Source organism: Homo sapiens, chromosome 17 (genome assembly GCF_000001405.40).
Source record: "Homo sapiens chromosome 17, GRCh38.p14 Primary Assembly".
In the NCBI taxonomy this organism is placed as follows: domain Eukaryota; kingdom Metazoa; phylum Chordata; class Mammalia; order Primates; family Hominidae; genus Homo; species Homo sapiens.
In genome coordinates this window covers 82214453-82242043 of record NC_000017.11, presented here as the reverse complement: position 1 = coordinate 82242043, position 27591 = coordinate 82214453, and the positions used below count along the sequence as shown (strand labels likewise).

Here is a 27591-nt window from a genome sequence, read left to right as displayed (position 1 = left end):
CCACTCCAGGCCACTCCCTTGGCCCCTTGGCCAGGGTCACGCTGCCTAAGAGGAGGATATTTTTGTTTGTAGTGAAAAAGCACAGGGACTTCGGGTCACTTGCCTGGAGGTTGCTCTAAGAACGGTGTAGCTTTCTGAGCCCCACGTTCCGGGGCTGTCCCGCCAACTCTGCCTGTGATGCACTCCTTCCCCAACCGTGGGGATGCCCATGGCCTGGAGCTCTGCCAGCCCCTCCTGCCCAGACTTTGCCTCCTCCCAGGCCCTTCCTCTCAGCCATTCTGGCTGTGCCCTGGGCATCTGAGCTGGCTTCCGGGCCTTCCCTGTCTCCAGCCCGCCTCACGTGGTTCCCTCTTGCTGCCCCAGACTGAGACACCGTGTGGGGCCTCACTGTGGCCGTGGGTGAGGCTCAGCCCCTGCCCCGCTCACCGGCCCCAACCGGAAAACGGCAAGACCCAAGTTCCAGTTCCTGCCTGAGCTTCCCAGGCCTGCAGCTGCCCTCCTGGGGTTCCCTGCCCTGAGAGGGAGCAGGGGCTGCATGTCCTCAAGGCCTGTTCCATCTCATCTGCGGGGGCATGAGCGGACAGAGTTAGAGGGCTTGTTCTCTGAACCTGAGTCTGGCTGGGTCTGTGTCCTCAGGCATGGTTTAGACGCTGAAAAGAGCAGGCCCTCCAGGTACTGGGCAGCGCCTCCCGGGAGCTTCACCATAGACCCCTCGGAAGGCTGAGGGACGGCAGCGTCCGGGGCCACCAAGCCCTTTCTGGGTCCCCTGTGCCTCCCCCGCCACCTCCCCCGGCACAGGCCTTGCACACATCTGTTCCAGGGCTGTTCTCTGGGAAGGCCCAGGCCGGGCGGACACCTCCCTTCTCCCTCTGATCTGGGATCATGTGAAGAAGTCTGTGCGCCCTCTGCCCCCCACCCCCACCCCAAGTAGCAGTGGGTTCTGGACGGACGTGTCTCTGGTCAGGGGATCTTCACAACACGGTAGACCTGAACCACTTTTGGCACTAGAATCTGTCGCCGGGGTTGGGGGATAGCTCTGCAGCCCACGCACCAGACCTCTGCCCCCAGCTTCTTCCCAGTGGGCTCCGGGCTTCCCTTCCCTTCCCCTTCACTCCTGCCTGTCGGGTCAGAGCAGACCCACTGCCCCATGGCTTCCCTCCTTTAAAGGCACCAGCTGAGGGAGGAGGTAGTAGAACTCAGCGCCCACTCACGCCCACCCTGCGGCACAGGGACCCCAGCCCCCACACGTCCTGTGCCCCCAACCAAGCGTGGCTGCCTTCCCACATCTGGACCACTCCTGAATCACTGAGCACGGTCCCTCAGGCATGTCTGTCCGGGAGCAGCACTGCCTGGCTACTTTGTGTTGAGCCTCTGCTGTGTGCTGTGGGTGTGGGGACCAGAGTGGGGCAGACGAGGGGTGACAGTTGAGCTAGAGAGACTGCTTCCTGCCTAGGGGAGGGTGAGGGCCCGAGATACCTGGAAACAGGGTTCCAGGAGCGAGCACCCCTCACCCGGCCCATGACCTCCCTGCCAGTACCTCTGTAAGCCCAGGTCACTCCTGAGGTCAGCAGAACCAGGGACAGCCAGGTCCAGAGGCGGCAACCCCTGGGTGTGAGCAGTCCCCTGGTGGCCCTGATGTGGGGGTGCCAGCGGGGGAAGGCCATGTGTCCTCTGAGGCCCGGGCTGCCTGCTCCCCACCTCCTCGTCTGCTCCCTGCCTCCTCGTCTTTCTCCCTTCAGCTGCTGGGTGGGACTGGTGGACTCTGCCGAGACACATGGGCCTAGCTGTGCAGAGTCTGACCTTGATCCCTGCAACTGCTGGCACTGCCCGCCAGCCTGAGCCCTGCTAGAGGCCTCCACAGCCCTGAGGCTGCAGGCAGGAGCCTGGGCTGCAAGAGCTCAAGCCCAGCTGGCGCAAGGCCAGGGGCAGATGGGGACAGCTGGACCTGAGATGTGCACTTTTCGCTTGCTTTTCATTGCAGAGGAGCAGGGACATGGCATCTCTCCGGCTGCACGCGGCCCGCCAGGGCACCCGCTGCCGTCCCCAGCGCCCACGACGCACCTACTGAGGGCCCCGGCGGCCTCTGACCGGGCTCCCAGCCACGCAGGCCACTGCTGGCCACGAGGGCAGGTGGGTGTTAGGTGTCCAGGACAAGCCCAAGCGCTGGGCCGGGCTGGATGGAGGACAGGGTGCAAAGACCAGCCCTGGGCACTGACCACACCACGCACACTGCCAGCCAGGCAGAGGGGCGAAAAAGGGAAGGCAGGAGGGTCCTGTTTCTTAAACACAGCAGTGAATAAAGTGGCTTGTTCCACCTCAGCTCCCATCTAACCACCACGTAGGGGCTCCCTGGCACATTTCAGAGGCCACCCTGGCACAGCGGCCTCCAGGCACCTGCCCCGCAGCCCCCTCCATGCAGCGCCTGCCCCTGCTACGAATGCTATGCCGCTGCAGGGAAAGCTGGCGAGGACAGAGCCACGGTAGGAACAGCCAGGCCATCAGCAGACGTGCGAGTCAGGACACAGGCCACACAGCAAAACCACATACTCCTAGGAAACCGTTGGTCCTAACACTCCACCCACACGCAGGTTTATTTCCATCTTCCAGGGGTGGAAAGAGCTGTCCCCAAGACACTCAAGAGGGGTGGGCACAGGCCCCATGTGAGCCCAGGGTAGGACGGGCTGGAGAGGGCCCCACGCAGCACCTGCCCTGCCAGCCTGTCTGCGGCCCACCCACCCTCCCATTAAAGTCACGTTGTCTCGAAGCATGGGTTTCCAGGTCCTTGAGCATAGCAGTGGCCGCAGGCCACCTGGGAGCAGCAGGCGGGGCCCCTGGTGAGGATGCCTTGTAACCTTGCGGCTTGGCTTCACCGCAGATCCACTCTGGAATGACACGGTTCCCACCCCGCCACCTTCCCCCTCAAAACACTGATCGGGCGACGATCCGCTGGGCCGGCAGCTGGAGCCCAGCCGTGGCCCTGCCTGAGCCAGTCCAGTTTGTAAAATAAATAGCAAGCGTTGCCGGCTTCTGTACCTCCTCCCTGTGCCTGCCGGCCCCGCCCAGCCACTCAGACACTTGTTTCCGGGGTGTGAACCACCTCCCCGTTTTTCTCAGGCTCAGCCTTCAGGAAATGCTCCACCTCCCGCAAGTCCACCCCCGAGTCTGCAGGAGGCTTGTGGAGCTTCTCCTCCTCCGCGGCCGCCACCTCAGGCTGTGGCTCTTTGGGCTTCTTCCTAATGCAGAAGAAGTTGCCCAGCAGCAAAATCAGGGAGGAGGTGAGCACCTCGGCCCCCGCCAGGATGAACACGTACATGTAGACGTGGGTCGCATCCAGGAGTTTGCCTGCGGGAAGACCCCGTCAGTCCCAGCCGCTCATGCGGGCTGCCCCCAGGGCCCACGGCTCCACCCAAGCCTGTGTCTCGGTGTCTCAGCACGCAAGGGTCACCCTGTCTGCCTCTGAGCTTGTGGGGCTGGGAGGTGTTCTCTCCCCTCCATGTGTTTCAGCTGGGGGCATCCTCCCTCCTCCTCAGGGGAACCAAGACTTAAGAGGCTAAAAATAGCAATGGCTTTGTGGAGTTTGGGTTTCGGTTGGTGGCAGGAGTCACGCTGGTCCCCACGGAGTCCCCCTGAGGCTTCCAGTCGGCAGCCCCAGAAGCCCTACTGTGTTCAGTACCAGCCCTGTGCCCTGGCCACCGCGGACTCCAAGACATGAGCCCTCCCCAAGCCCAGGACCCCCTCGCCAGGCAGGCGGAGCCTGGGCAAGGCTGCTCCAGTCAGAACTTAATTTCCCTCACGTGTTAGCTCAGTCATCCTTCAAAAAGGAGAGGCCCCAAAATGCAAAAGCCGGCTGTTGGGTTGCCTGGAGCTGCCGCGTGGTGCCCAGGCAGAGCCTGGAGGAGCTGCCCCCCCCCGGGCCCAGCCCCTAGCCACCCTGCCTGTCTGGACACACTGTGCCGGACGGAGCACCCCACTCCTAATGGAGACCCGCTAGCCCCAGCAGAATCAGGGTTGGTCCAGCACAGTGCACCCCCTCCAGCTCTGAGTCCCACACTGCGGGTGGCTGCCGAGGGGTGCGCGTCCCCCCCCTCGCAAAGCGGGCGTCTGACGGGAAGGGCAGGTGTGGGGAACTGCCTGGGGGCGCAGCGCTCACCTCCCGAAGGGGGCCCGACGAGCACGGCCACCGCCTCCATCAGCAGCACCAGGCCAATGGCACTGGAGAACTTGTGGGTGCCCACGATGGCCATGAGCACCTCGAACTGCAGGGCCCCCACCATGCCGTAGGAGATGCCAAAGAAGATGCAGAAGACCACGAGGCCGCCGTAGTCGCCCGCCGTAGAACCCGCCAGGTCCGCGAGGCCGTTGAAGAACATGGAGAAGCTGAAGAGGTAGACGGAGTAGGGCCGCACCTTCCCAAGCCCCGCCACGAAGCCCGCGGCCGGCCGCGCGAAGATGTCAATGAAGCCCAGGATGGTGAGCAGGAAGGCGGCCTTGGTGTCGGGCACGCCCAGGTCCTTGGCGTAGCTCACCACGAACACGGGCGGGACGAAGAGCCCCAGCACCATGACCGAGGCGGCCACGGCGTAAAGCACAAAGCCGCGGTCCCGGAAGACGCTCAGGTCTAGCAGGCGCCGGGAGGGTCGCGGCGGCCCCGAGCCCGGCTGGGCCGTGACCACCAGGGGCCTCATGAGTGCGGCACACACGCAGCAGTTGAGCAGCAGGCCGCCCAGGATGAGGAAGCCGCCCCGCCAGCCGTAGCGGTCCTGCAGCAGCTGCCCCAGCGGGCTCAGGGCACACAGGAAGACAGGGCTACCTGCTGCCGCCAGCCCGTTGGCCATGGGGCGCCGCTTGCTGAAGTAGCGGTTCAGCATGATGAGCGAGGGCTGGAAGTTGAGTGCCAAACCCAACCCTGGAGGAAAGGGAATGTGGTGAGAGCCCCCCAAGGCTGCCCCAAAGCCCGAGACCCTCATCTCTGCCCCCAGGTTCCCACAGGCTCAGGCTCCCAGGGTGCAGAGCCCCTGCCACCCACCCACTCGAGAGGGGGACAACGAGGTGGGGCCGGGACACCCCGCAGCCACCCGCCCTGCTGTCCTCCAGAGGCCTGGACCCAGGAGCAGAAGTGCACGGCCCCTGCCCCTCCTGGCACGTGCGGCCCACCGGCCGGCCCCACTCACCCGTGATGACCCCAGTGGTGAGGTAGACCTGGATGATGCTCCGGCAAAAGGACGCAGCCACCATGCCCAGCGACGCAAAGAGACCCCCCACAAGCATGACGGGCCGGCAGCCAAAGCGGTTCACGCACACACTGCAGAGCGGACCTGGAGAGGGCAGCAGCTGAGAGGGGCCGGGCCTGCAGCCAGCTCTACCCCCGCCAGCCGACTGAGCTCACAGCCTGGAGCCGGCCTCCCCTTCCCACACCACCCCTCCCCCCGCGGGGCACCAGGGGCACCCCGTGGGCAGGCTCCCCGAGCGCAGGCCATGATGACACGTGAGCGCCGCCTGCTGGGCCCCTTGGGTCCCTGCAGCTCAGGAACAGCCACCTTTTCAGGAACGGCTCTCAGGAGCCTGTCCTCTGAGACGGTCTATAAATACAGCCGACCCGTTTGGACAGGGGCCAGGATGGACTTCGCGCCCTGCCTGGGTTGGCCCCGTGGAGAGCATGTTGCTGCCCAGCAGGATCCTGGCCCCAAGGGCTTCCCTCCAGGGTTCCCTGGGGAGCAGGCGGAAGGCCCTGTTGCTGAGCCCAGCTACACGCGCCCAGCAGGATCCGCCAGCAGAGCCCCGGACAGGGGGCCCGGTGTGAGGCCACCCTCACCTGTCCCGTAGAGCATGGCCAGCAGGATGGAGGAGATCCAGGCTGTGTCGCTGTAGCCGATCCCAAACTCCTGTATGAGCTCCTTGAAGAAGACACTGACGGCCTTGGGGAAGGCGTAGGAGAAGCCAGTGATGACGAAACAGCCGAAGAGCACGGCCCAGCCCCAGCCGCCGTCAGGGGCCTTGACGCCTGTGGGGCCCTCGTCCACCACGGCCCCTCCCATGGCCAGGAGGGTTGGTTCCGCCTCACCTGAGAGAGAAAGCAGGCTGACTCAGGCTGCCCGGGTGACCATCCCAGCTGCAGCCTGGCAGGGGAGGGACACGAGCTGGGTGGCCCGGCAGCTCAGCTGAGGGGCAGCTGCCCGGCACCCACACTTGTGGCCCCCTGACCTGGTGTCTGGTGGAGGCAGGAGGGTTTGGAGGGAGGCTAGCAGCTGTGGGTCCCACTCCCTCTGCACTGCCTCCTGCACCCTCACAGCTGGCTCTAAAGGGCAGTGGCTTTTTTGGGCTCGGCCAGGACTCAGATTACCTCCTGGGACAAGCAGCCCCCGACAGGAACATCGACCTGGCCGTCATTTCTGCCCTGGCTCGCTCTGGCTGACCCGTGCTGGGCAGGGACCACGCACACCATGATTCTGGCAGCAGACGGCACCTCCGGTCCCCAGCACTGAGCTCGCCCCAGGACCTCTGGGGTTGGCATCCTCCAGGTCTCTCCCGGTCTAAATCTAGGTGGAGCGTGCCTTGCTCTGGCTCTCCTGCCCCCAAGGGCCCACTTTGGCTTCAGTGGAGCCCACCAGGAGCTTGCCCAAGAGGAGGCGGGCAGTCTCTGGCGGTGAGGGGCTGGGCCCCAGGCTGGAGGGGGCAGTTGGAAGCACAGGGGCTGCAGTATTAGAGTGGGTGGGGTGGGGAAGTGGGGGCAGAGCTGGCCCCTTGTCCCTGGATGCCCCCTTGCCTCCCACCGGCCCTCTTGCTCAGTGACTCCTCCAGTGAGATCTTGACTCACCCCACCTGTGCCTGGAGTGACCCATAGGCTGCAGCCTGAAATCAGGAGGGGCTAGGGAGGCTCCCATCCAGCCCACGAGAGCAAACCATGCCAGCCCCCACGATGTCTGAAGCTGGTGTCCCTTTCTAAACTCCAGGAGCTCAGCTCGTTTGAGTCAAGTTGGAACCCGAGGTCAGACTTCCATCTTCATGCCCCACCCCACCCAGAAGTCACCTTGTCCTCTCCTCACCAGGGAGCTGCAACCTGAGACCTTGGGTGGTCTAGTCCAACCGGCTCAGCCTCTCCCTGCTGGGACCGTGCTGTGAACCAGCGCCCTGGGAGGCAGCAGCAGGCCTGCTGTGCAAGCTCCACGCCCACCCACGACGCAATCTGTGGGGCTCCACCCCCACCCCCTTTCCTTGGGTTCCTCCTGCAAGCGTGTCCGCAGACCCCTGACCCGGTGGGTCCCCCGTGACGGCTCGTCTTTGCCTCTAAGGCAGACATGTAACTAAAGGCATGCACAAGGGCCAGGACCTTTGCTGGGAGAGTCTGAGCAGTTCCGTGCGTGGCTCCTCACTCCTCCTCCCGGGCCCTCCCCGCATCCAGCCTGCCTGCCTGTCCCCACCACAGGTGCTGTGCCCCCTGGAGTCCCTGCCTCAGAGGTCCGAGGATGGTTTTTAAGGGCTTCCTAAGTGTTCCACGAAGTCACTGTTACTGGGAAATGCTGCTTGACGAGGGGACCCAGGAGCCAGCTGTGGCTGTCTGGATGATGACAAGGCAGACACGGCCCACTGGAGCAGAACAGACCCCCCCACAGAGCCAGAGGTCCACCCCCCAACCTGCACTGGCTCTCTGGGACCCAGGCCTCGGAACCATTTCTGGGAAACCCGGGAGCAGCTTTTGCCTCTGCACCTGGACACCGGATGCCCCCACCACAGTGCCTGGGACAGGACAGAGTGTCGCACGCCTCAGGACACACCACCTTAGGACACACTGCCTGGGGTCACTGAGCAGCAGGGTAGGTCCCGCTCATACTGGTATTGTTTAAAAGGTCCCTAAGATGACAGTATACAGCAGGGTAACTACAAGATATTAAAAATATATGCACTGAGGCCGGGCGCGGTGGCTCACGCCTGTAATCCCAGCACTTTGGGGGGCCAAGGCGGGCGGATCACGAGGTCAGGAGATCGAGACCATCCTGGCTAACACGGTGAAACCCCGTCTCTACTAAAAATAAAAAAAATTAGCTGGGCGCAGTGGCAGGCGCCTGTAGTCCCAGCTACTCGGGAGGCTGAGGCAGGAGAATGGCGTGAACCCAGGAGGCAGAGCTTGCAGTGAGCCGAGATCGCGCGACTGCGCTCCAACCTGGGCCACAGAGCGAGACTCTGTCTCAAAAAAAAAATAAAAAAATAAAAATATATGCACTTGAGGAATGAAACTGGGAACAGGACGCAGACTGCGGGTCACAGGGGAGACTGGAGGGGTTGACGGCCTCAGGGCCCCAGCTTGTTTGGGGTTGCAAGTTTGCACTTTTAAAAATAAACAGGCCATGCAAGGCCAAGGAAGGAAATGTGTATACAACAAACAGGAATAGACACATTTTGCATACCCCAGGTTCCCCCTGCAAAACACAAAGAGGTACCAAGGCCTCTGAGTCTCCCTGGCTGCACCAGCGGGGGTGGGAGACGCAGGCAGACCCAGGGTTTGAAGCCCGCCAGGGTCCTCAGGAGACAGACGAGGGCGTGTGGGGAGGCAGGGGACAGTGGCCACCCTCAGGAGACGCGGCGCCCCTGAATTAGTGTCAAGGAGGGCTGGCAGAGGGTTGGGGCAGTGCCAGGACTCACTGACCAGGAGAGCACAGCATGTTCTGAGACCTGAGGTGCTTGTGGCTTCCACGTGACGCTCATGTGGGGAGGGCCATCTTCTGTGTCAAGATGAGGCATTTGGACAAGCCCCCAGACCACAACCTGGCACCATCGTCTGTCCTCACCCAGCCTGTGGTGCCAGCCATGCTGAAATGGCTCCAGGAGTTCCCACTCCAGCCTGGTGTCCAGGGGCTGACTTGGAGCCAGCTGTCTGCCCACATGGCTTGGGGCAAGGGATTCCACAGGAGGTAGAGTACGGGGAAGGGGCACAAAATAATGGCCCACACTCCCCATCTTCCAGGATAACCCCGGCACCGTGATGGGCCAAGGTACAGACTGCCCGGTGTTCCAGGGACAACCCTGGGGCTGTCCTGCCTGGAGCACACGCCACAGCCACCAAGCATTGGCCTCTCCGTGGGCACACGCCACAGGCTGGCCTTCCCCTGACATTTACCAACCCCCCCCCCGCCGCCCCCCAGGAAGCATGCCAACCCACCCAGAAATAACCTGGCCTCTGGGATGAGAAAGCTGATCTCCCAGGTGGGGGCTGCCCGGAGAGCAGGTCCCCCAAAGGCTCTACGACCCCAGGCTGCTGGAAGCTGAGCGGGAGGCCTGGGGCAGGGGTGGGTGGGAAAGTCCCTTGCAGGAGACCCTGCGTCCCACAGCCATGCGCCCTCCCAAGCCAGGGGCTCCTGCAGGCAGTTCCCTCGAGGGTGCAGGGCGCAGGGCTCTGCAAGGACCCCTGGCTTTAGACCAGGATTCGACCATGAAGTCCTCAGGACCTGGGTGCCTGCCAGTTCGGACCCCTGCACTGCCCCGTCACAGGCCTGGAACGCCATGCCAGGTGGCTCGAAATGCCGTCCTGCAGAGTCAACCTGGACTCATGCACAGAGGGTCCTGAACCTGACCCCTGCTGCCCAAGCCCGCTCCTCCGGGACCTCTCCAGAAACCTCGCCCACCACCTTGGGGGGCACTGGGCACCCTGGCATGCTTCCCCTCAGGCGTCTGGACCTGCAGACCCCTCACCCGCCTAGGTCCTCAGGTTTGTGCGCAGCGCCGCCGCCTCGCTGAGGCCTCTGCTGGACTGTCAGCCCGTTCCCTGGGTCCGTGCAGTGGCCTGAGCCCGGGGCCCGTGGCCTGTTACCTAACTGACTCCAGCCCTTGAAGGATGGGCTTTGGCCCTGCCTTTGTGGCCCAGGCAGGAGGCGGGGCAGGAAAAGGGTAATTCGTTTCCTTCCTGGATCCCATGAGCTGCCTGAGGACCAAGGAAGCGGCCTCTGTGGCCAGCGCCTGGCTGCCGAGGGGTGCCGAGGGCGGGAGGGCGCTGCACCGGGGGAGGGGCCTCCCTCAGTTCCCTTCTTCCCCCGCAGCCCCTGTTGTGCAAACAAGGAAGGAGCAGTGAGCAACTCCCGGCAGCCCCGCCCCAGGCGCCTGCAAAGGTGTCGGGGCCGAGCTTGCAGGGGGTGGACGCTGCGCAAGGGGCTGCCCCAGGCCTGGGCCCTGCGCCCCACCTCTGACCCCCGCAGACCCCTCGCGCAGCCCGTGCCCTGCCGCTCTGTGTCCGCTTACATCACGACGGCAGGGGCCGGCGGGGCAGACACACAGGCCTCATTTGCGGATTGGCCACTCCCACCCAGGGCCAGGGCCAGGAGCCCCCACTGGTGCCCCAAGTGGGGCTGGGCGCAAGTCCCCTTTGGGAAAGGAAGGCTGCATGTGCCGCCGCAGGCTTCAATCCTGAGCTGGCACTGCGGGGTCTCAGAGCTTTGAAGACCCCTTCTCCGCAAGGCTGTCACCGCCCTGGGGCCGGGAGGTGGTGGGGGCCGGAGCTGGTCCAGAGCCGCCGTCCCCCACCTCCGAGGCCTCCTGGACCCCGCAAGGCCGCCCCTCCACCCTAAAGCCAGTGCCTGAAGGCCAAGGCTGGAAGGGGAGTCGGGTCAGGAGGCGCCCCCTACCCCACCGCCGCCCAGCGGGCGTCGTGGGGACCCGGGGGGGAAGGTGAAGACCGGGAGGAGGCAGGAAGGCGGGAGGTGCGGGGCGAAGGGGGGAACCCAAAACTCCACCCTCGCCAGGAGAGGCCCCTCCTCGGCGCAATCCCCGCCCGGGCCGGAGGGACGGCTGGAGGGCGCCTGCGGGTTCCGGCTTCCCGGCTCTGCGGGCGGGGGTCGGCGCGGGTGGTCGAGGCTGGGCGGGGCCCACCCGGGGGAGGGGGAGGGAAGGATGCTCCGCCCGGCCCCGCCCCGCCAGCCGCGGGACGTGGGGGACGTGACCGCGCCATGGGAGGAGCCCCCGTATTGCCCGCAGTAGGCGCCCTACTGGACGCTACCGTAATTGCCGGCGCGCGGGTCCACCGGGGTCAGCGGAGCCCGGGAGCCGCGCCAGGCGTCGGGGCCTCGAAGCCACAGGGCGGGGCCGACTCCACTTGCTGCAGAGGTGGGACCAGTGGGCGCGGCTCGGGACTCGGGGGCGTCGACTCGTGAACTGCGGGTCTCGGAGCAGGAGCCCGGCGGTTCGGTTCCGTTGCGTGCGGCTGCCCGGCGTGGCCCATTTCACAGATGGGCCTGACTCGGGCAGGTGACGCTAGGAGGACGCCCTGAGCTCTGTCTGCTCCCGCCCCGCCCCTGCCCCAGGGCCCGGGCACCTCCAATGGCTCTGCGCCACTGCCCGGAAGGCCCCCGCTGGGGCCCAGAGTGTGGCCCACATTTGGCACCTCACTGGAGGGAGCGGCACAGGCCCTTCTGTCCCACGTGGCCAGGTCACCCCAGGACCCACCGCTGAGCCAGCCGAGCCTGGCATAAGGGTCACTGCAGGCCAGTAGGGGGGACCCGTCCGGCCTGACGGCTGGGCTGGGATCCATAGAGCCCTCTGGTAGCTGCCCCTCCAAAGTAAAGTGCCCCGCTCCAGTCAGTGGGGTCTGGCCTGATCGTGCAGGCCACATGGCTTTCTGGGTGGCCTGGATGGCGGGCCCTGCCCAAGGTCACATGGGGTCGTTACCAAGCCTGCCTTGAGACCAGGCCTCCAGGTGCCCACCCCAGACTCTGTCCACACCATGGGGCCCTGGGGGACAGACGCTGCACGTGCCACGGCAGAGCCCCCATGCACTCAAAGCCTCTCTGGGGGCAGACACCCCCCCACGGCCTCCTAGCACCTCCTCAGTTCCTTCCCTCCATGAGGGAGTCGAGCCCAGCCGCCTCCACACCACGCTGGCGGAATAGACCCTCCTTCAGCAGGGTCAGGCCAGCACCCACCTGACTTCCAGGCCTGTGCAGTGAAGCTGGGACCTTGGACTCCCCGGCCCCAACAGACACAAGACCTCCCACCCTTGTGCTCAGCATGGACAAGCCCCTGGGCCTTGGGGTGGGCCAACTGCCATTTCCCGCCCAGCAGGCCTGACTCTGGCCATCACCAGGAGAGGGACCCTTTCAGCCCATGCCTCTGGGACAGAGAGGAGGACAGCCGCCCCTCGGCTCCCCCCATCGTCCCTCACCGACTCCAGCCACCCCTGGAGGCCCCGGCCAGAGCTAAGGGCTTCCCTTCCACTCTGCGGCTCCTGTCTCTTGACTGGCCCAACACCCAGGGAGGCTCCTGACCAACCCACTTTTCGTATAGGGAAACTGAGGCGTGGGTTAGGAAGTGGGAGGCTACCAAAGGCTGCGCCTGGTTTTCCCACGAGCTGGGGGCCAGGGGTGGAGGTAGGGCGAACCCAGGGAGCCCAGCCTGGCTCTGGAGAGGGTCCCCCACTTCCCTGCACGGTCTCGGGCTGTTAGTCATTGCCCAAGGGCGGGTGTGGGTCGGGGAGTGTTCAGGGTGTTGCGAACAGGGGAAAGCGCCACGGCCCGAGCGCAAGTGCTCCCCACTCCCTCGGGGAGGCCACCCATACAGGGAGGGCTGCAGCAGCCCCACCAAATATAGCCCGCGCCCCCCGCCACCGCGGACCGAGCTATTTATACCCGGACCGGGCTTGGCCGCCGGCGCAGCCATCTCCTGGCCCGAGCCCAGCCCCTGAGGGCAGCCCGACGGGTGGGCGCCGGGCCGGACCGGGGGAGACGAGACTGGGCAGCCAGGTATGCGAGGGCGCGGAGGGGCGCGGCTGGCTCTCGGGAGCCCTCGGTGGGGCCCGCTCGGGGTCGAGAAGGCTAGTCCATGCCCCGGGCGCCCCCGGACCTGATGGACAAAGTGGGCGGGGTGGGGGTGAGAGCGCGGACCCCGAGGTCGCCCCCTTGCCCGGCACGGGGGAGCTCCTGGGCCCCGGCCCGCGCGCGAGCATCGCGGCCGCGCCTACCTGCCGCCGCTGGGCCGCCTCAGCCCGCCTCTCGCCGCCTCTCGCCGCCTCTGCCCGCCTCTGCCGGTCCGCTCCGCGCCGGGGGCGACTTTAAGTGCTCGGGTCGCTGGCGCGGCACGTCCCCCGCGCACGTCACCGCCTGGCGCCGCCCCTGCGCGCCCCGCCCGGACCCCGCGCCGCCTCCGGACGGGCTCCCGGGCCGCAGCTCCCCGACGGCGCGTCCCGCAACCCCGCCGGGCCCAGGGACCCCCCCAACCGGAACCGGCCCCGTCGGCGCCCCCGGCCCGGAGCTGGCCCGCCCCCTCTGCTCCTCGGGACTGGGTCTTCCCGGCCTCGCCTCCCCCGGAGTCCAGGCTCGCTTCGCCCCTCCGCCCCGCCGTCCCTCCGTTTCCCCGCCTCGGAGCGCAGCGCGGCAGGTCCCAACGTCCTCCAGGGCAGCGACCCCTCGCCCCCCAACGCCGGGGCCCCTTTGGTGGGGAGGTGCGCGCGGGTCCCGTGGGGTTCCGGCCGCCTGGCTCAGCTCCGGGGCCCACATCCTCCCTCTCTGAGGCCACGTCCGACCTGTCCCCCTTCAGACCTCCGCTTCCTCTCCGGTCCCGGTGCGGACGGCGGCTCTTCCTGGCTAGGGGAGCGGCCCGCGGCCTGCGCTGCCTGGATGTGGGGCACGGCCTCGCCCTCCCTGAACTTCCGTTTCCCCAGGTGGCTCCGCGCCCTGCGGGGCCCTACAAAGCCACCGACTCCAGCCCTGCGCCCCTGCCCCGCCCCTCTCGCGGCCCAGAACCCGACGCGGAGGCCGGGGCGGCTCCCACCTTCGGGGAGGCGAGGGCTGCCCACCCGCTGGACCTCGTGAGGTGCTTCTCCCAGCCTGTTTTCTCTCATTTGCAACATGGAAATAACGGGCCGCTTTGGGTGCTGAGGTTTGAGGTGGCTCCAGGGAGTAAGGCCTTTGTTGGCCTGGACCAAGGAGTCTAGTTGTCAGGGCCACCCTGCCAGGGCCACAGGAATGCTTTAACTGGCCCCTCCCGGACCCGGGGGCTTCGGGGACCGAGGCACTGGTAAGCCCGTGCCTTCACACACAAAGGAGGCAGGGGGTATCAATGGAGGACCCCTCCAGAGGGCAAGGGGAGGCCACCCCTGACAGTGAGGCCGTGTGGGCCTTGGCTCTCCATCTGCAGCCCAGCCTTGCGGGACATCAGGTCCAGTAAGGCCGCCTGTTCTTTCTATGTAATGTTACAAGCCCACCCTCCCGCTGGCATTCACAGAGGCTGGGTCTGGCCCTCACCCCTACCTGGGGCCCAACCACCCCCATCCCCAAACATCAAGATGAGGGCACGTGCCTGTGAGCAGAACACAGGCCTGTGGCAAGTGGTGAGGGGGCCTCCAACTTCACAGATGAAGACTCTACTTAGTTGGCCCGTGCTGCTCCCGCCCAGGGCAGGTGGTGCTCCCGCCCAGGGCAGGTGGTGCTCCCGCCCAGGGCAGGTGGTGCTCCCGCCCAGGGCAGGTGGTGCTCCCGCCCAGGGCAGGTGGTGCTCCCATCTTCCTGCACCAGGCGATTCATCAGTTTCTGAGGAGGGAGAGCAGCAGAGGGGTGCGAGGCACCGTGGACAGCTGCGGGAATGGGTCCCCTATGGGGTATTGCCTGCCGGGGAGGCGAGGGTACCGTGCTCCCCATCCCAGATTGTTGAGTCACCAGGCCTGCCAGCTGGGCTTGGGGCCCCCACTGAAGCCACCGAGACACCTTCCACATCTGCCTACAGCTTGGCCCTGATCCCTGAACCCTGAACCCCCACCGTAGAGCAGCAACAGGGGGAGGGAGACAGAGCCAGAGAGCCTGGGACCTCACTGCCCCCTCCTGCCTCCTGAAGGACAAAGGGGCGCCCCTGCCAGGGCCAGGTTTTCTCCCAGCTGGGAAGACGCCCAGTCATCCCTCCAGGGGTCCCAGGGAGCACCTGTGGTTTGGTTCTGACCCCCAGGCCTGGCCCCCTCTTAGGCATGGCTTCCCCTGGGTGTGGGCCCCAGGACTGTCCACCCAGAGCTGGGGTGGAGCCTCCCTGCCCTCAGAGGGGAGGGGAGCAGGCAGGCCAGTCAGCACTGGCTCCCAGCAGAGAGGTCAAGTCTGTGGGCTTTGACTGGGGGGACTGGAAGACCACAGAGTGGTCACAGTGATGTGATGGCTGCTGGGGGCTGGGGCTGGGGGCCTGCCAGGTTGTTACCCAGAGGAAACAGGCAGCGCAGCTATCAAGCAGGCCACTTGGGACAGCTCACCCGGAGCCTGGACAGAACAGGACGCTGTGGGGTGGGGCCAGAGCCTCCGAGACCCTGGGCCCCTCTCCGAGGATTCTGGCACTCCGGTAGCATGAGGTACCCCTGACCTCCAAGTGCTCAGCTTTTAGAAAGGCCCAGCAGTTGGTGGCGGGGGGCATTCCAGGCCTGGCACCAGGGCCCAGGTGGCCAGGCTCCATCTGACACAGGGCTCCAGGGGCACCTGGGCACGGAATACCACTTTGGTTTCGGGTAAGATGCCTTCTGGGGGTCATGCCCCTCCCTCAACAACCCTGGATGTGTCAGAGACAGCGATGGTGCAGGGGAGAGGCACTTCTGGCCATGGTGCGATCCCCTGGCCCGCTGGGGGTCTGGAGCTGCGGGAAGGGGTGGGAAAGGCCACGTGTGTCCGCATCTCTGCACCCCACTCTGGGTGGTGTTGGGAGCACCCACCCCACACCTGGCTCCAACGCTTGCTCCCCCACAGTGGCCCTGGGTCAGACCCCAGGCCCAGGCCGCCCTTTTCTGCAGGAAAGGAGGTGGGGGTGTGGACAGGTGGCACCATCCCTGGCCAGTGAGCAGCTTCACAGGACGCCCCCCTCTGACCCCACAGCCCCCAGTCTTGACTTCTCCCCCAGACCCAGGTGCCTCCACCTGCCCCTGGCTGCCCCAACTTCCTTTTGTTCCCAGTTCCAGCTACAGGGCCCTCCAGGCCCTGGAATGTCCTCCTAGGGGCCTGGCCCCCAGGTCCTTCCCACCCTGCTCCCTGGCAGGCTTAAGCTCCCTGGGGTGCGCAGTCCCACCTTTTCCAAGAGCAACCTTTGTGGGAGGGGGGCGGGCAGGAAGGGGAGGCTGGGATCTGCTTCCTCCCCATGGGCTGCCCCGAGAGTCCCTACCTCTGTGTCCTGAAATGACTTAGGAAATGCGGAGAGGCTTTTCTCCAAGGGTCACCACAGCCGCTGCCCCAGGGAGGGTGGCAGAACAGGCCCCCGGACCTATCAGGGCCAGATCTCAGGTCCCAGGGAACCTTCCAGGGTCGGGGGAGCCACACAGCCCACATCCTGCGTCCTTGGGAACCCCGCACACCATTTTCCAGATCCCAGCAGGGCCACCCCGTCCTGACCCAGTCTTGGCCGTACCACCCAGCACCAGTTGCCGCCCCATGGACAGGACTGGGGCCAGGACTGGCCGGGTCAGGGGAAGAAAGCCGAGTCACGGGGAAGGACATTCCGGCCGAGCCACAGCCCCGCCTCCCTGGGGTCCTGGGCTGCCCAGCTCCTGACCCTGCCTGCCTTACAGCTCCCTGCCCAGAGGATCTGGTGACACAACTGTCACAGCCTGTCATTCCACACCTGTGGCCACACCGTCCCCAGACTCCAGACCCACGCGGGGCGTGTGGCGGGACGTGCCCAGGCTGGATGGGGGATGCAGCCAGGACGGTGCCAGGGGAGGCTGGTGCCCTCCACCACACAGAGCCTAGACCCAGGACCAGGACCATGGCCCAAATCTGCGCCCTCCCTTCACTCGCCCCAGAGAACCTGTCCAGGCTCACAGAAAAATACATATTATTATTATTTTTTTTTGACAGAGTCTCACTCTGTCACCGGGCTGGAGTGTAGTGGTGCATTCTTGGGTCACCACAACCTCTGCCTCCCAAGTTCAAGCGATTTTCCTGCCTCAGCCTCCTGAGTAGCTGGGGTTACCGGCACCTGCCACTACGCCCAGCTAATGTTTTGTATTTTTAGTAGAGACAGGGTTTCACCATTTTGGCCAGGCTAGTCTTGAACTCCTGACCTTGTGATTCACCTGCCTGGCCTCCCAAAGTCAGAAAAATACATATTAACCTGGCTGCTGGTCCTTCCCAGGGAGTGGCAGCCCAGGTAGGGGGCAGAGGTGAAAAGGGCAGGAGAAGCCGCACCGTGGCCCAGTGGGGCCTGACCCACCACACTGCTGCCTGTGGTGGGTGTTGGTCATGGGGTTTGGGTGTGATGCATGGTGTAGGGTTATGAGAGGGCCGGTTATGTGGGGTTGGGGGTGTACACGGGCGTGAGGGTGTGTCTGTGCACAGGTGTTGGGGTGCGTCTGTGCATGGATGTTGGGATGTGTCTGCACGGGTGTAGGGTTGTGTCTGCACAGGTGTCTGTGCACGGGTGTAGGGGTGTGTCTGCACAGGTGACTGCACGGGTGTAGGGGTGTGTCTGCACAGGTGACTGCACAGGTGTAGGGGTGTGTCTGCACGGGTGTAGGGGTGTGTCTGCACAGGTGACTGCAAGGTGTAGGGGTGTGTCTGCATGGGTGTAGGGGTGTGTCTGCACAGGTGACTGCACGGGTGTAGGGGTGTGTCTGCACAGGTGACTGCACAGGTGTAGGGGTGTGTCTGCACGGGTGTAGGGGTGTGTCTGCACAGGTGACTGCAAGGTGTAGGGGTGTGTCTGCACGGGTGTAGGGGTGTGTCTGCACAGGTGACTGCACGGGTGTAGGGGTGTGTCTGCACAGGTGACTGCACAGGTGTAGGGGTGTGTCTGCACAGGTGACTGCACAGGTGTAGGGGTGTGTCTGCACGGGTGTAGGGGTGTGTCTGCACAGGTGACTGCACAGGTGTAGGGGTGTGTCTGCACGGGTGTAGGGGTGTGTCTGCACAGGTGTCTGTGCACGGGTGTAGGGGTGTGTCTGCACGGGTGTAGGGGTGTGTCTGCACAGGTGTCTGTGCACGGGTGTAGGGGTGTGTCTGCACGGGTGTAGGGGTGTGTCTGCACAGGTGTCTGTGCACGGGTGTGGGGGTGTGTCTGCACGGGTGTAGGGTTGTGTCTGCACAGGTGTCTCTGTGCACGGGTGTAGGGGTGCGTCTGCACAGGTGTAGGGGTGTCTGTGCACAGGTGTTGGGGTGTAGGTGTGCATGGTCTGATGAGAGCAGCTGTCGTGTGCTGGCCAGGTCTTCTTGATGTCCTCAGTGACCTCTCGCTCTGTCACTGGGAGACAGAACTGAGACAGGGTCAATGCTGCTGGAACATTCAGAACTAATGCTCATTGGATCCTGAGCGGTCATTCCAAGAATGTGGTCAAGTGGGGAAAGAAAGAAGTGTGGGGACCTCTCTGGACCTCAGTCTCTTGCTCTGTAAAGTGGGTGCAGCAAACCGAATTTCTACCAAAAAATACAAACAATTAGCCACACGTGGTGGCATGCACCCATAATCCCAACTACTCGGGAGGCTGAGGCAGGAGGGCAGGAGAATCACTTGAACCCAGGAGGTGGAGGCTGCAGTGAGCCTAGATCATACCACTGCACTCCAGCCTGGGTGACAGACCAAGACTCTGTCTCAAAAAGAAAAAATAAATAAGTAAATAAATAAATAGTCCAGGCGCAGTGGCTCACGCCTATAATCCCAGCACTTTGAGAGGCCAGTGTGGGCAGATCACCTGAGGTCAGGAATTCAAGACCAGCCTGGCCAATAGGGTGACCAGCCTGGCCAATCTCTACCAAAAATACAAAAATTAGCCAGGCGTCATGGCACATGCCGGTAATCCCAACTACTTGGGAGACTGAGGCAGGAAAATTGCTTGAACCTGGGAGGCGGAGGTTGCAGTGAGCCGAGATCGCGACACTATACTCCAGCCTGGGTAACAAAGAGCGAAACTCCGTCTCAGAAATAATAATAATAATAATTAATTAATTAAGGTAGAGCTCTTGTAGCACACGGTTACGGTAGAGGGCAGCTCAGCAGCACTGGACGTGCTCACGTTGTTGTCCACCACCAGCTGTCTAGTTTCAAAACTCTTTCATCACCCCTTAAAAACACCGTGCACTCATTAAGTAATTGCTCCCCATCCTCCTTCCCACAGCACCCCCCCTTCCCCGGTATCCACCCATCTGCTGTCTGTGTCTGTGGACTGGCCTGTCCTGGATGTTTCATGTGAATGGAGCCCTGCAGGGTGTGGCCTTTGTGACCAGCGTGTTTACTGAGCATCATGTCTTCCTTCCATGTTCGTCCATGGGAGAGGGTCTATCAGTGCTTCATTCCTTTTTTTTTTTTTTTTTTTGAGACGGAGTCTCGCTCTTGTCCCCCAGGCTGGAGTGCGGTAGCTTGATCTCGGCTCATTGCAACCTCCGCCTCCCTGGTTCGAGTGATTCTCCTGCCTCAGCCTCCCGAGTAGCTGGATTACAGGCGTGCACCATCACGCCCAGCTAATTTTTGTATTTTTAGTAGCGACAGGGTTTCACCATGTTGGTCACGCTGGTCTCGAACTCCTGACCTCAGGTGAGGCGCCTGCCTCGACCTCCCAAAGTGCTGGGATGACAGGCATGAGCCACCACACCCGGCCTCTTCATACCTTTTTACGGCTGAATGATGTTTCCTCATGTGGATGGACCACGTTTCGTTTCTTCACTCATCTGTTGATGGACATTTGGGTCATCTCCACCTTTTGGCTGTTGTGAACAGTGGTGCCACGGACATTCCTGGGCCAGTATTTGTGTGAACAGATGTCTTCGTTTCTCTTTGGTGTGAATGTAGGAGCGGAGTTGCTGGGTCCCAGGGCGACACTCGTCTCCACGAACGTGGGAGCGGAGTTGGGGGTCCCAGGGCGACGCTCCTCTCCACGAACGTGGGAGCGGAGTTGGGGGTCCCAGGGCGACGCTCGTCTCCACGAACGTGGGAGCGGAGTTGGGGGTCCCAGGGCGACGCTCCTCTCCACGAACGTGGGAGCGGAGTTGGGGGTCCCAGGGCGACGCTCCTCTCCACGAACGTGGGAGCGGAGTTGGGGGTCCCAGGGCGAGGCTCCTGTCCACGAACGTGGGAGCGGAGTTGGGGGTCCCAGGGCGACGCTCCTGTCCATGAAGAGCCACCACACTGCTTTCCACGGAGGCTTTGGCCATCTCCATTCTCAGCAGGGTGTTCAAGGGTTCCAGTTTCTCCACATCCGCACCAGCGCCTGTTATTTTATGTGGAGGTTTTCTGGGAGGTGTTTGTTTTTCAGAGACCAGGGTCTTCTTATGTTGCCCAGGCAGGAACTCCTGGGCTCAAGTGATCCTCCTGCCTCCGCCTCCTGCCTGGCTGAGACTCCAGGCCCGTGCTGCCACACCAGCCCTGTTTGTTTTTCATTAAAGCCGTGCTCGTGGGTGTGAAGTAGTATCTCATGATGGATTGGATTTGCGTTTCTCTAATGACTAATGATGTTGAGTATCTTTTCATGTGCCTGTTGGCCATTCTGTATCTTCTTTGGTATTGGGTTGTCTTTTTTGTTGTTGTTGTTTAGTTTCATTCTCTTTTATGTTTGGAACAGGGTCTTACTCTGTTGCCCAGGCTGGAGTGCAGTGGTGCGTTCTCAGCTCACTGCAGCCTTCACCTCCCGGGTTCACACGAGTCTTCCCCGCCTCAGCCTCCCAAGTAGCTGGGACGATAGGCAAGCACCACCACCACACCCAGCTAATGTTTTTGTATGTTTTTGTACAGACAGGGTTTCACCATGTTGCCCAGGCTGGTCTTTGAACTCCTGAGCTGAAGTGACTCGCCTGCCTCAGCCTCCCAAAATGCTGGGATTACAGGTGTGAGCTGCCGTGCCCGGCCCTTTGTTGAGTTTTACATGTTCTGGGTATTAAACTCTTAACAGATATATGGTCTGTATTTTCCCCCATTCTGTGGGCTGCCTTCACTCTCCTTTGATGCACAAAATTGTATCTTTGTTTCTTATGTTGCTTGTGTTTTTGGTATCATATCAAAAATCTGGGCCAGGCACAGTGGCTCACACCTGTAATCCCAGCACTTTGGGAGGTTGAGGTGGGCAGATCACTTGAGGCCAGGAGTTTGAGACCAGCCTGGCCAGTAGAAACCTGTCTCTACTAAAAATACAAAAATTAGCCCGGTGTGGTGGTGCATGCTTGTAATCCCAGCTACTCGGGAAGCTGAGGCACGAGAATTGCTTGAACCCAGGAGGCAAAGGGTGCCGTGAGCTGGGATTGCGCCACTGCATGCCAGCCTGGGTGGGTGACAGAGTGAGACTCTGTCTAAAACTAAATAAATAAATTAAATTAATTAATTAATTATGCTTTCTTCTGAGAGTTTTGTGATATTAGCTCTTATGTTTTGTTTGTTGATCTATTTTGCATTGATACTTATAAACGGTGTGAGATAGGGATCCAGCATTATTCTTTGCATGTGGATATCCAGTTGCCCCAGCACTTTTGTGGAAGAGATCTTTACTTTCTTTTTTTATTTACTTAAAAAAAATTTTTTTTAGATAGAGACAGGATCTCACTGTATTGGCCAGGCTGGTCTTGAACTCCTGAGCTCAGGTGATTCTCCCACCTCCACCTCCCAAAGTGCTGGGATTGCAGGCATAAGCCACCATGCCTGGCCGGAATCTATTACTTTCCTAAGGACAAAAATCAGTGTGATCAGCCTGCTTCCATGTTTAAGCTGGAGTGGGTGTGCCAGGCAGGGGCTGCCTGTGAGGCCAGAGGTTGCCCTGGGTCTCCCCTTCCCACTCCTGGGGTGGAGTGGAGCCCTACCCCAGCCCCTTGGCCCCAACATTCAAGCCTCAGCAGGCCAGGAGGTCATCAGCTGGAGGCCTCAGTGGTAGACATGGAGCAGGAGGCAGCTCTCCTGGGCACTGGGGGAGGAACAGCCTTCCTTGGCAAGAAGGTTTTGGGGTGGCCGTGGAGCCCAGCCTAGGGTGTCCAGGCCACACTGGGCCAACAGAGACAACTCTGTCCCAGGATCGGGGTGGCAGGTGGCTGGATGGGTGGGGACACTGCCCTCTCCTCTTGGCTCAGCCCTTTGGAGGCTGGGCAAAGTGTGGCCCTGAGAGCCCCCCCAACCTGCTGTGAAAGGGCCCCCCCGGCCCTGAGCGTCCAGCATCCTGGAGTGCGTTTTTTCGCCTTTCTCTGCTCCACCTGCCCTGTGTCCCACCCCTGCCTCCTCTTGAGCTGGGGGCTGGGGGGTCAGGGTTTCCTCTGCCCTCCTTGGAGCCCACGTCGGCCCTGGGTCTGCCATGGAGGCAGGACTGGAGTGTGGAAGGAGAGGAGTCAAGACTGGAACTCAAGGCTGGGTGGGAACAGCGCAGCCCATGCTCGCCTGTAGCCACCCTTCTCAGCGCAGACCCCCCGCCTTTCAGTGCAGCCCCCCAGCCCCCTCTTTGCACCCTTTGGCCTGGCTGCTCCTCCCCAAGTCCGAGACTGAGAGGCGGGGCCAAGCAGTGGGGGAGCAGTCCAGGCAGGGGCCCCAGAACCCCCTGCTCAGGGGCGGCCACCGGCACCTGGGAGGCGGTGGGGAAGGGCCCCATTGGTCCCCCTGCCAGCTGGGGCCTCCAGAGACACAGCAGGCCCAGGGAGCGAGGCCTCTGGCCTGCGAGACCCTACGGGCGGCCACTGGCTCCTGGGGAGCCCCCACGGCCTGCAAGTGCCTGGGGGTGACCGGACCTTCCCTGCTGTCTAGGGGAGGGTGACTGGGACAGTGTCACCCTCACCGCACAGACTAGCTCCTCCCCCGCCCCTTGGAGATGGGTGGGCACCTTCCCAGGTGGCACCAGCAAAGTGTGCTGCTGCCCCACACCCCCTCCCTAGGCCTCCAGGCCAACCCCCAAGTGCCTCAGACCTGCAGGCCCAGCAGGGCTCCATCGCTGCCCCGGCCTCCAGGCCCTGCCTGGTCCCGGGTGTCCTCCTCTTCTGCAGCTTGGGGGCTTCCCTGCATCTCCTGAGCCCAATGTATGGGCCCCATCCCTGCTCCTCTCCTCCCTGCCCACACCTGCCTGGGGTGGCCCCATCCACTCTCACGGTCCTTAGGAGCTTCCTCTCACGGTAACCCCGAAACGTCCTAGAGCCCAGACCCTCCGAGACCCTCAGTCCTGCTGGGCTCACACGGGGCTGCCTCAGCCTTTCTCTCCCTTATCCTCAACCCCCATGTCCAGTGGCAAGTCCCGTGGTCCCCAAGCCCTAGCGGTGCCCCCGGCGGCTCAGTGAGCCATTGGCATCCTGGTGTCCTGCCCACCCCAGCGCCTGGATGGAACAGATGCAGGTGAGTGACGGGCTTCGGGAACAGCCAGTGCCACCAGCCTGGCCCCAGGCCCTCGTCCCTGCTGCCCGTTCTCCACGCACAGCCGGAGGGTACCTTCTGCCCTTCTGCCGTGGTCAGCACCAGCCTGGTTTATGCTCTAGCCCTGGCCGGGCCTCTGTCCTCTCTTCCTTGGCCTAGAACATCATTCAGGTATCACCTGCTTTGGTGGTCCTGGTGCGGCCTCCCTGACCAAGCTCCACCTGCACACACCCTCGGCACCTTACACATGGCTCCTTCAGGGCTCTGTGCACCCCTGCGCTATTGACAGCTGCCTTCTTCCTGCATTTCTCCTCCTCCAGTGACCTCCTGGGCTCGCCTTGGCCGTCCACCCCGCAGTGACCGAGGCTGGGCTCCCCTTGGCCGTCCACCCCGCAGTGACCGAGGCTGGGCTCCCCTTGGCCGTCCACCCCCCCAGTGACCGAGGCTGGGCTCCCCTTGGCCGTCCACCCCCCCAGTGACCGAGGCTGGGCTCCCCTTGGCCGTCCACCCCGCAGTGACCGAGGCTGGGCTCCCCTTGGCCGTCCACCCCCCCAGTGACCGAGGCTGGGCTCCCCTTGGCCGTCCACCCCCCAGTGACTGAGGCTGGGCTCGCCTTGGCCGTCCACTCACCAGGGTTACCCAGAGCTTGTCATTGCTGGGACTGCAGCTACCCTACGTCTCAACCTGGAGCATCCCAGGTCGAGGAGCAGAGGTCACCACCTGCCAGCCCCTGCTGTGGCCTCGTGCCCAGCCCCAACCTGGCACATGGAGGCACAGGGAGGTTCTGAAGTGCCCTTGGCCTTCACCAGGCCAGAGCCAAGGACATGAGGACAGCAGCCAGGCTGTGGCTAGAGGCCTATGGGGCCGGGGGCCTGGGGAGTGGGGCCGGGCTGTGTGGCAGGATCTGTGCCTCTCGCCTGAGGGGGAGGGCAAGGCCTTGCCCAACCTTCCTGTCCGGCCAGGACCGCAGGCCCCGCAGCCAGTGACTCAGCACTGAGAACTCAGTGGAACTTCCTGGGGGGTTGGGGAGGGGCATGGGGCTTCTGACAGTGCCTGTCCCTTGCCCCTTGCCGCAACACTGGCTCAGGAACCGCTGTTTTCACACTGTCGGCGGCCGGGGTCCAGCCCCGTCCCTTCCAGAGGCCACGTGAGCCCCTTAGCTTCCCCAGCCTCAGTTTCCTCACTTTTACCCCAAGACAGGAGGACTTTGTGGTCTCTACGTGACGTGGTTACAGTGTGGAAATGCCGTGTGTCCCCCAGGGTCCCCCCAGCTCCCTCAAAGCACCTCCTGCTCACAGGCTGCTGTCCCTGCAGTGGACAAGGCAGCCGAGGAAGGTGGATGCCGGGGCACCTTGGCTCCTCTCCTTCTGGACGAAGCCGGCCTTGGGAGGACAGCCTGGCTTGGAGCCCCCTTGGGTGCCCACCCACTGGGCAGCACGGCCTGTTCCACACCAGCCTCGAGGGAGCATCCCCTGGTCCTGCCCGTGTCCACACCAGGATCCCTGGCAGCACTGGCCCTGCCTCCAGGTCTTGACCTCCAGGAAGTGGCTGTGGTCACGGCCGCTGTGGGGCATGTCTGACGCCGCTGTCCGGCTCCTGGTCCCATCTGGACAGTGCCAGTCTTGCTGGTCTGTTCCTGGAGGGTCTTCCTGTCCAGAGGAGCCTCCCTGCCTCCAGCCCTCAGGCAGGAGTCAGTGCCCACCCCCCTCCTCCTGGAGCAGCCAGACACTGAGGCCCACTCACACCCACCAGGCCCTTTCATTTCTTGGCTCCTCTCTGGCCTCAGGACCTGGGAGCCAGGCAAATGGTGCCCATGGTCACCCTTTCAGCTGAGCCACACGCCCGGGTGCCCCAGGGACAGAGCAGGGCGTGCCACAGGCACTGGCCAGATCCAGATCGGAGCAGGGCCCGCCCACACCCACCGGGCCCTTTCATTTCTTGGCTCCTCTCCTGCCACAGGGCCTGTGAGCCAGACAGATGGAGAAGTTGCCTCTGCAAGTCTGACGTGGGCATTCCCCAAACCTGAGAGGAAGTGGCTTGCTCTGGCCCATGCAGGCTGGTGCCCAGGCGGGGGCCCCCGCACCTCTTGTCCTGGATCCCTGTGCTTTTAGGGCCCTGCAAGAGGCCTGGAGGCCTCAAGCAAGCAGCTTTTGGGGGCTCCCATGGTGAGGTCTGCCACCAAGGTCAGTCTGTGTTCTGGGAAGCAAGAGCCTCAGCCCACACTTACGCCCTCAGCCATGGCCTTCTGACCTTCCTCTCACCCTCCCTTGTTTACCCCACTCAGTGACATGCGGCTGCCTGACACCCAGATGTGTGTCTGGGTGGGTGGGGCATAGGTGCCAGGAACGCAGCTGGGAGCAGGACAGCCAGTTCCCCACCCACCTTGCTCTGCCACAGAGGCATGGGAGGGTCAGGTCCTGGCCGTGTCACTCACCGGGGCACCAGGAAGGGCCCTCGGCCTCCACTGTCGTGGCATGATGAGGGTGGTTGCAGGACGGCCTGGGGGAGCCAGCACTGGGGGCTGTCAGCCCCACACAGGTCCAGGGCTGAATGGTGGTCCCCAAAGAAATAGGATCCAGTCGTAGCCGCTGGTCCATTAGAATGCGGCTTGGGAATAGGGTCATCGCCGACGTAATTGGCTGGGTGGTCCTGCTCCAACGTGATGGCGTCCTAAGAAGGGCAGCACATGGAGACAGACACACAGGAGAAGCCGCATGATGGTGGATATAGGGGCGGGAGGGGGCGATGTGGCTGCAGCCAAGGGTGCCGAGGCTGGAAGGGTTAGGTGCCTGTGGTCCCAGCTACCTGAGGCCAAGGTGGGAAGGATTCTCCCATAGGGCTTTTGGAGGGGCCATGGCCCGGCCGACATCCTCAGCTTTCCTGAACTGGGAAAGAAGAAAGGACCAGTTTGGGGTTCTTTGTTTTGGCGGCCCAGGCCCTGGCTCACACCCTGTCTGCCTTCCACCTGTGAGTCCTGCTGGGTGCTGGAGGCCAGGAGTGAAGGGAATGTGGTCTCCCTCAGCCAACTCCCGGCCACCCGCACTGAGGGTGCCCAGGTGGAGCCCAGCTGGGGAGCTGGGCAGGGAAGGAGGGGGAGGGGTTCTGCAGTGTGGGGGGGGCAGGGAAGGAGGGGGAGGGGTGCTGCAGTGTGGGGGGCAGGGAAGGAAGGGGAGGGGTGCTGCAGTGCTGGGGGGATTCAGTAGGTGTAGCCTCGGGCCTGAGCTGACGGCGGGCGCTCTGGGACCGTGGAGCTCAACCCAACGGAACGGCCCTCGAATCAGAGCACAGGCTGTGAGGGCCAGACCGGCCTGCCCCACAGCTTCAGGAACCAGGCAGTGCCCGTGGCACACCCTGCTCTGTCCCTGGGGCACCCGGGCATGTGGCTCAGCTGAAGGGGTGACCATGGGTGCCATGCTGCTGACTTGGGCCAGCACACGATTCCAGGTCCAGATACCCATGACGTGACAAATGACCTGCTAGGGCCGCATAACTCAACACCACAGCCTGGGCGGCTTAAACGACATTTATTTTCTCACTTCCGGAGTCTGGATGTCAGGGATCAGGCTGCCGGCAGGGTGGGTTCCTCCTGAGGCCTCTCCATGGCTTGCAGACGGCACCCTCTCCCTGCGTCCTCATGTGGCCTCTCCTCTGTGTGCTCACTCCTGGTGTCTCTTCCTCTTCTTTTAAGGACAACAGTTCAGGGTCCCACCCTTAGGACTCACGTAACTTTAATTACCTTCTTAGAGGCCCTATCCATAACACATAGGTTTAGAGGGTTTTTTTTGGAGACAGGGTCTTGCTCTGTCACCCAGGCTGGAGTGCAGTGGCGCGATCATAGTTCACTGTGGCCTCGAAGTGCTGTGTTCAAGTGATCTTCCCACCTTGGCCTCAGGTAGCTGGGACCACAGGCATGTGCCATCACACCCGGTTAATTTAAAAAAATTTTTTTTGGCCAGGCATGATGACTCACACCTGTAATCACAGCACTTTGGGAGGCCGAGGCAGGCAGATCACTTGAGGTCAGGAGTTTGAGACCAGCCTGGCCAACATGGCAAAACCCCATCTCTACTAAAAATACAAAATTAGCTGGGCATGGTGGCAAGTGCCTGTAATCCCAGTTACTCAGGAAGCTGAGGCAGGAGAATCGCTTGAACCTGGGAGGCGGAGGCTGCAGTGAGCTGAGATCACGCCGCTGAACTACAGCCTGGGCAACAGAGCGAGACCCTGTCTCCCGAGCTCAAAGGATCCTCCCTTTGGCCTCCCAAGGTGCTGGGTTCACAGGTGTGAGCACTGTGCCCGGCCCACACATGGGTTCCCATAGATCCCACTTTACAGGCAGGGACACTGAGGCATGCAGAGCCG

General features: G+C 63.1%; 2 protein-coding genes and 1 non-coding gene across 11 annotated transcripts in view, besides 14 other annotated features; 1 reads left to right on the top strand and 2 right to left on the bottom strand.

Moving 5' to 3' along the window:
• CSNK1D (casein kinase 1 delta) overlaps window positions 1-3025 on the top strand; it is a 34732-nt gene extending 31707 nt beyond the window's left edge. Inside the window, exon 9 of the mRNA NM_001363749.2 lies at window positions 1982-3025. Coding sequence (NP_001350678.1) covers window positions 1982-2068 — 87 coding nt within the window. The 3' untranslated portion in view covers window positions 2069-3025. The remainder of the gene's footprint in view (window positions 1-1981) is intronic.
• On the bottom strand, window positions 1958-24110 carry SLC16A3 (solute carrier family 16 member 3). 9 transcript variants are annotated; one of them, XM_024451023.2, is made up of 5 exons: window positions 23860-24110; window positions 5813-6061; window positions 5172-5315; window positions 4151-4906; window positions 1958-3342 (listed from the first exon to the last, which is right to left on the bottom strand). In XM_024451023.2, the coding sequence occupies exons 2-5, from the start codon at window positions 6033-6035 to the stop codon at window positions 3068-3070; spliced, it is 1398 nt and encodes a 465-aa protein (XP_024306791.1). In that variant the 5' UTR covers window positions 6036-6061; window positions 23860-24110; the 3' UTR covers window positions 1958-3067. The 9 variants fall into 9 exon arrangements, with proteins under 9 accessions (XP_024306791.1, NP_001193879.1, NP_001035887.1 ...); NM_001206950.2 differs by lacking the exon at window positions 23860-24110 and adding an exon at window positions 13499-13609; NM_001042422.3 differs by lacking the exon at window positions 23860-24110 and adding an exon at window positions 13515-13609.
• Window positions 2473-3243: an enhancer, noted in NCBI's record as "H3K4me1 hESC enhancer chr17:80196677-80197447 (GRCh37/hg19 assembly coordinates)". NCBI's record gives its function as "activates a minimal SCP1, AML or CMV promoter by ChIP-STARR-seq in naive H9 embryonic stem cells {active_cell/tissue: H9 hESC(naive)}" and the evidence as "EXISTENCE:reporter gene assay evidence [ECO:0000049][PMID:30033119]".
• Window positions 4014-4785: an enhancer, noted in NCBI's record as "H3K27ac-H3K4me1 hESC enhancer chr17:80195135-80195906 (GRCh37/hg19 assembly coordinates)". NCBI's record gives its function as "activates a minimal SCP1, AML or CMV promoter by ChIP-STARR-seq in naive H9 embryonic stem cells {active_cell/tissue: H9 hESC(naive)}" and the evidence as "EXISTENCE:reporter gene assay evidence [ECO:0000049][PMID:30033119]".
• On the bottom strand, window positions 5316-5376 carry MIR6787 (microRNA 6787). The gene has a single exon (NR_106845.1). It is a non-coding gene; the product is annotated as a microRNA 6787 (primary transcript).
• Window positions 5610-5799: an enhancer, noted in NCBI's record as "active region_12995". NCBI's record gives its function as "activates an Ori minimal core promoter by ATAC-STARR-seq in GM12878 lymphoblastoid cells {active_cell/tissue: GM12878}" and the evidence as "EXISTENCE:reporter gene assay evidence [ECO:0000049][PMID:35858748]".
• Window positions 9937-10206: a silencer, noted in NCBI's record as "silent region_9203". NCBI's record gives its function as "represses an Ori minimal core promoter by ATAC-STARR-seq in GM12878 lymphoblastoid cells {active_cell/tissue: GM12878}" and the evidence as "EXISTENCE:reporter gene assay evidence [ECO:0000049][PMID:35858748]".
• Window positions 10437-11076: a silencer, noted in NCBI's record as "silent region_9202". NCBI's record gives its function as "represses an Ori minimal core promoter by ATAC-STARR-seq in GM12878 lymphoblastoid cells {active_cell/tissue: GM12878}" and the evidence as "EXISTENCE:reporter gene assay evidence [ECO:0000049][PMID:35858748]".
• Window positions 12537-12586: a silencer, noted in NCBI's record as "silent region_9201". NCBI's record gives its function as "represses an Ori minimal core promoter by ATAC-STARR-seq in GM12878 lymphoblastoid cells {active_cell/tissue: GM12878}" and the evidence as "EXISTENCE:reporter gene assay evidence [ECO:0000049][PMID:35858748]".
• Window positions 12597-12756: a silencer, noted in NCBI's record as "silent region_9200". NCBI's record gives its function as "represses an Ori minimal core promoter by ATAC-STARR-seq in GM12878 lymphoblastoid cells {active_cell/tissue: GM12878}" and the evidence as "EXISTENCE:reporter gene assay evidence [ECO:0000049][PMID:35858748]".
• Window positions 12877-13196: a silencer, noted in NCBI's record as "silent region_9199". NCBI's record gives its function as "represses an Ori minimal core promoter by ATAC-STARR-seq in GM12878 lymphoblastoid cells {active_cell/tissue: GM12878}" and the evidence as "EXISTENCE:reporter gene assay evidence [ECO:0000049][PMID:35858748]".
• Window positions 13357-13496: a silencer, noted in NCBI's record as "silent region_9198". NCBI's record gives its function as "represses an Ori minimal core promoter by ATAC-STARR-seq in GM12878 lymphoblastoid cells {active_cell/tissue: GM12878}" and the evidence as "EXISTENCE:reporter gene assay evidence [ECO:0000049][PMID:35858748]".
• Window positions 13547-13626: a silencer, noted in NCBI's record as "silent region_9197". NCBI's record gives its function as "represses an Ori minimal core promoter by ATAC-STARR-seq in GM12878 lymphoblastoid cells {active_cell/tissue: GM12878}" and the evidence as "EXISTENCE:reporter gene assay evidence [ECO:0000049][PMID:35858748]".
• Window positions 13717-13946: a silencer, noted in NCBI's record as "silent region_9196". NCBI's record gives its function as "represses an Ori minimal core promoter by ATAC-STARR-seq in GM12878 lymphoblastoid cells {active_cell/tissue: GM12878}" and the evidence as "EXISTENCE:reporter gene assay evidence [ECO:0000049][PMID:35858748]".
• Window positions 16403-16555: a silencer, noted in NCBI's record as "fragment chr17:80183365-80183517 (GRCh37/hg19 assembly coordinates)". NCBI's record gives its function as "represses an EF-1alpha promoter that drives an FKBP-Casp9 reporter gene in an ReSE screen in phorbol 12-myristate 13-acetate-treated (for megakaryocytic differentiation) K562 erythroleukemia cells {active_cell/tissue: K562(+PMA)}" and the evidence as "EXISTENCE:reporter gene assay evidence [ECO:0000049][PMID:32094911]".
• Window positions 25296-25575: an enhancer, noted in NCBI's record as "active region_12994". NCBI's record gives its function as "activates an Ori minimal core promoter by ATAC-STARR-seq in GM12878 lymphoblastoid cells {active_cell/tissue: GM12878}" and the evidence as "EXISTENCE:reporter gene assay evidence [ECO:0000049][PMID:35858748]".
• Window positions 26637-26931: an enhancer, noted in NCBI's record as "tiled region #4733; HepG2 Activating non-DNase unmatched - State 4:PromP, and K562 Activating DNase matched - State 5:Enh". NCBI's record gives its function as "activates a minimal TATA promoter and a strong SV40 promoter by Sharpr-MPRA in HepG2 and K562 cells {active_cell/tissue: HepG2 | K562}" and the evidence as "EXISTENCE:reporter gene assay evidence [ECO:0000049][PMID:27701403]".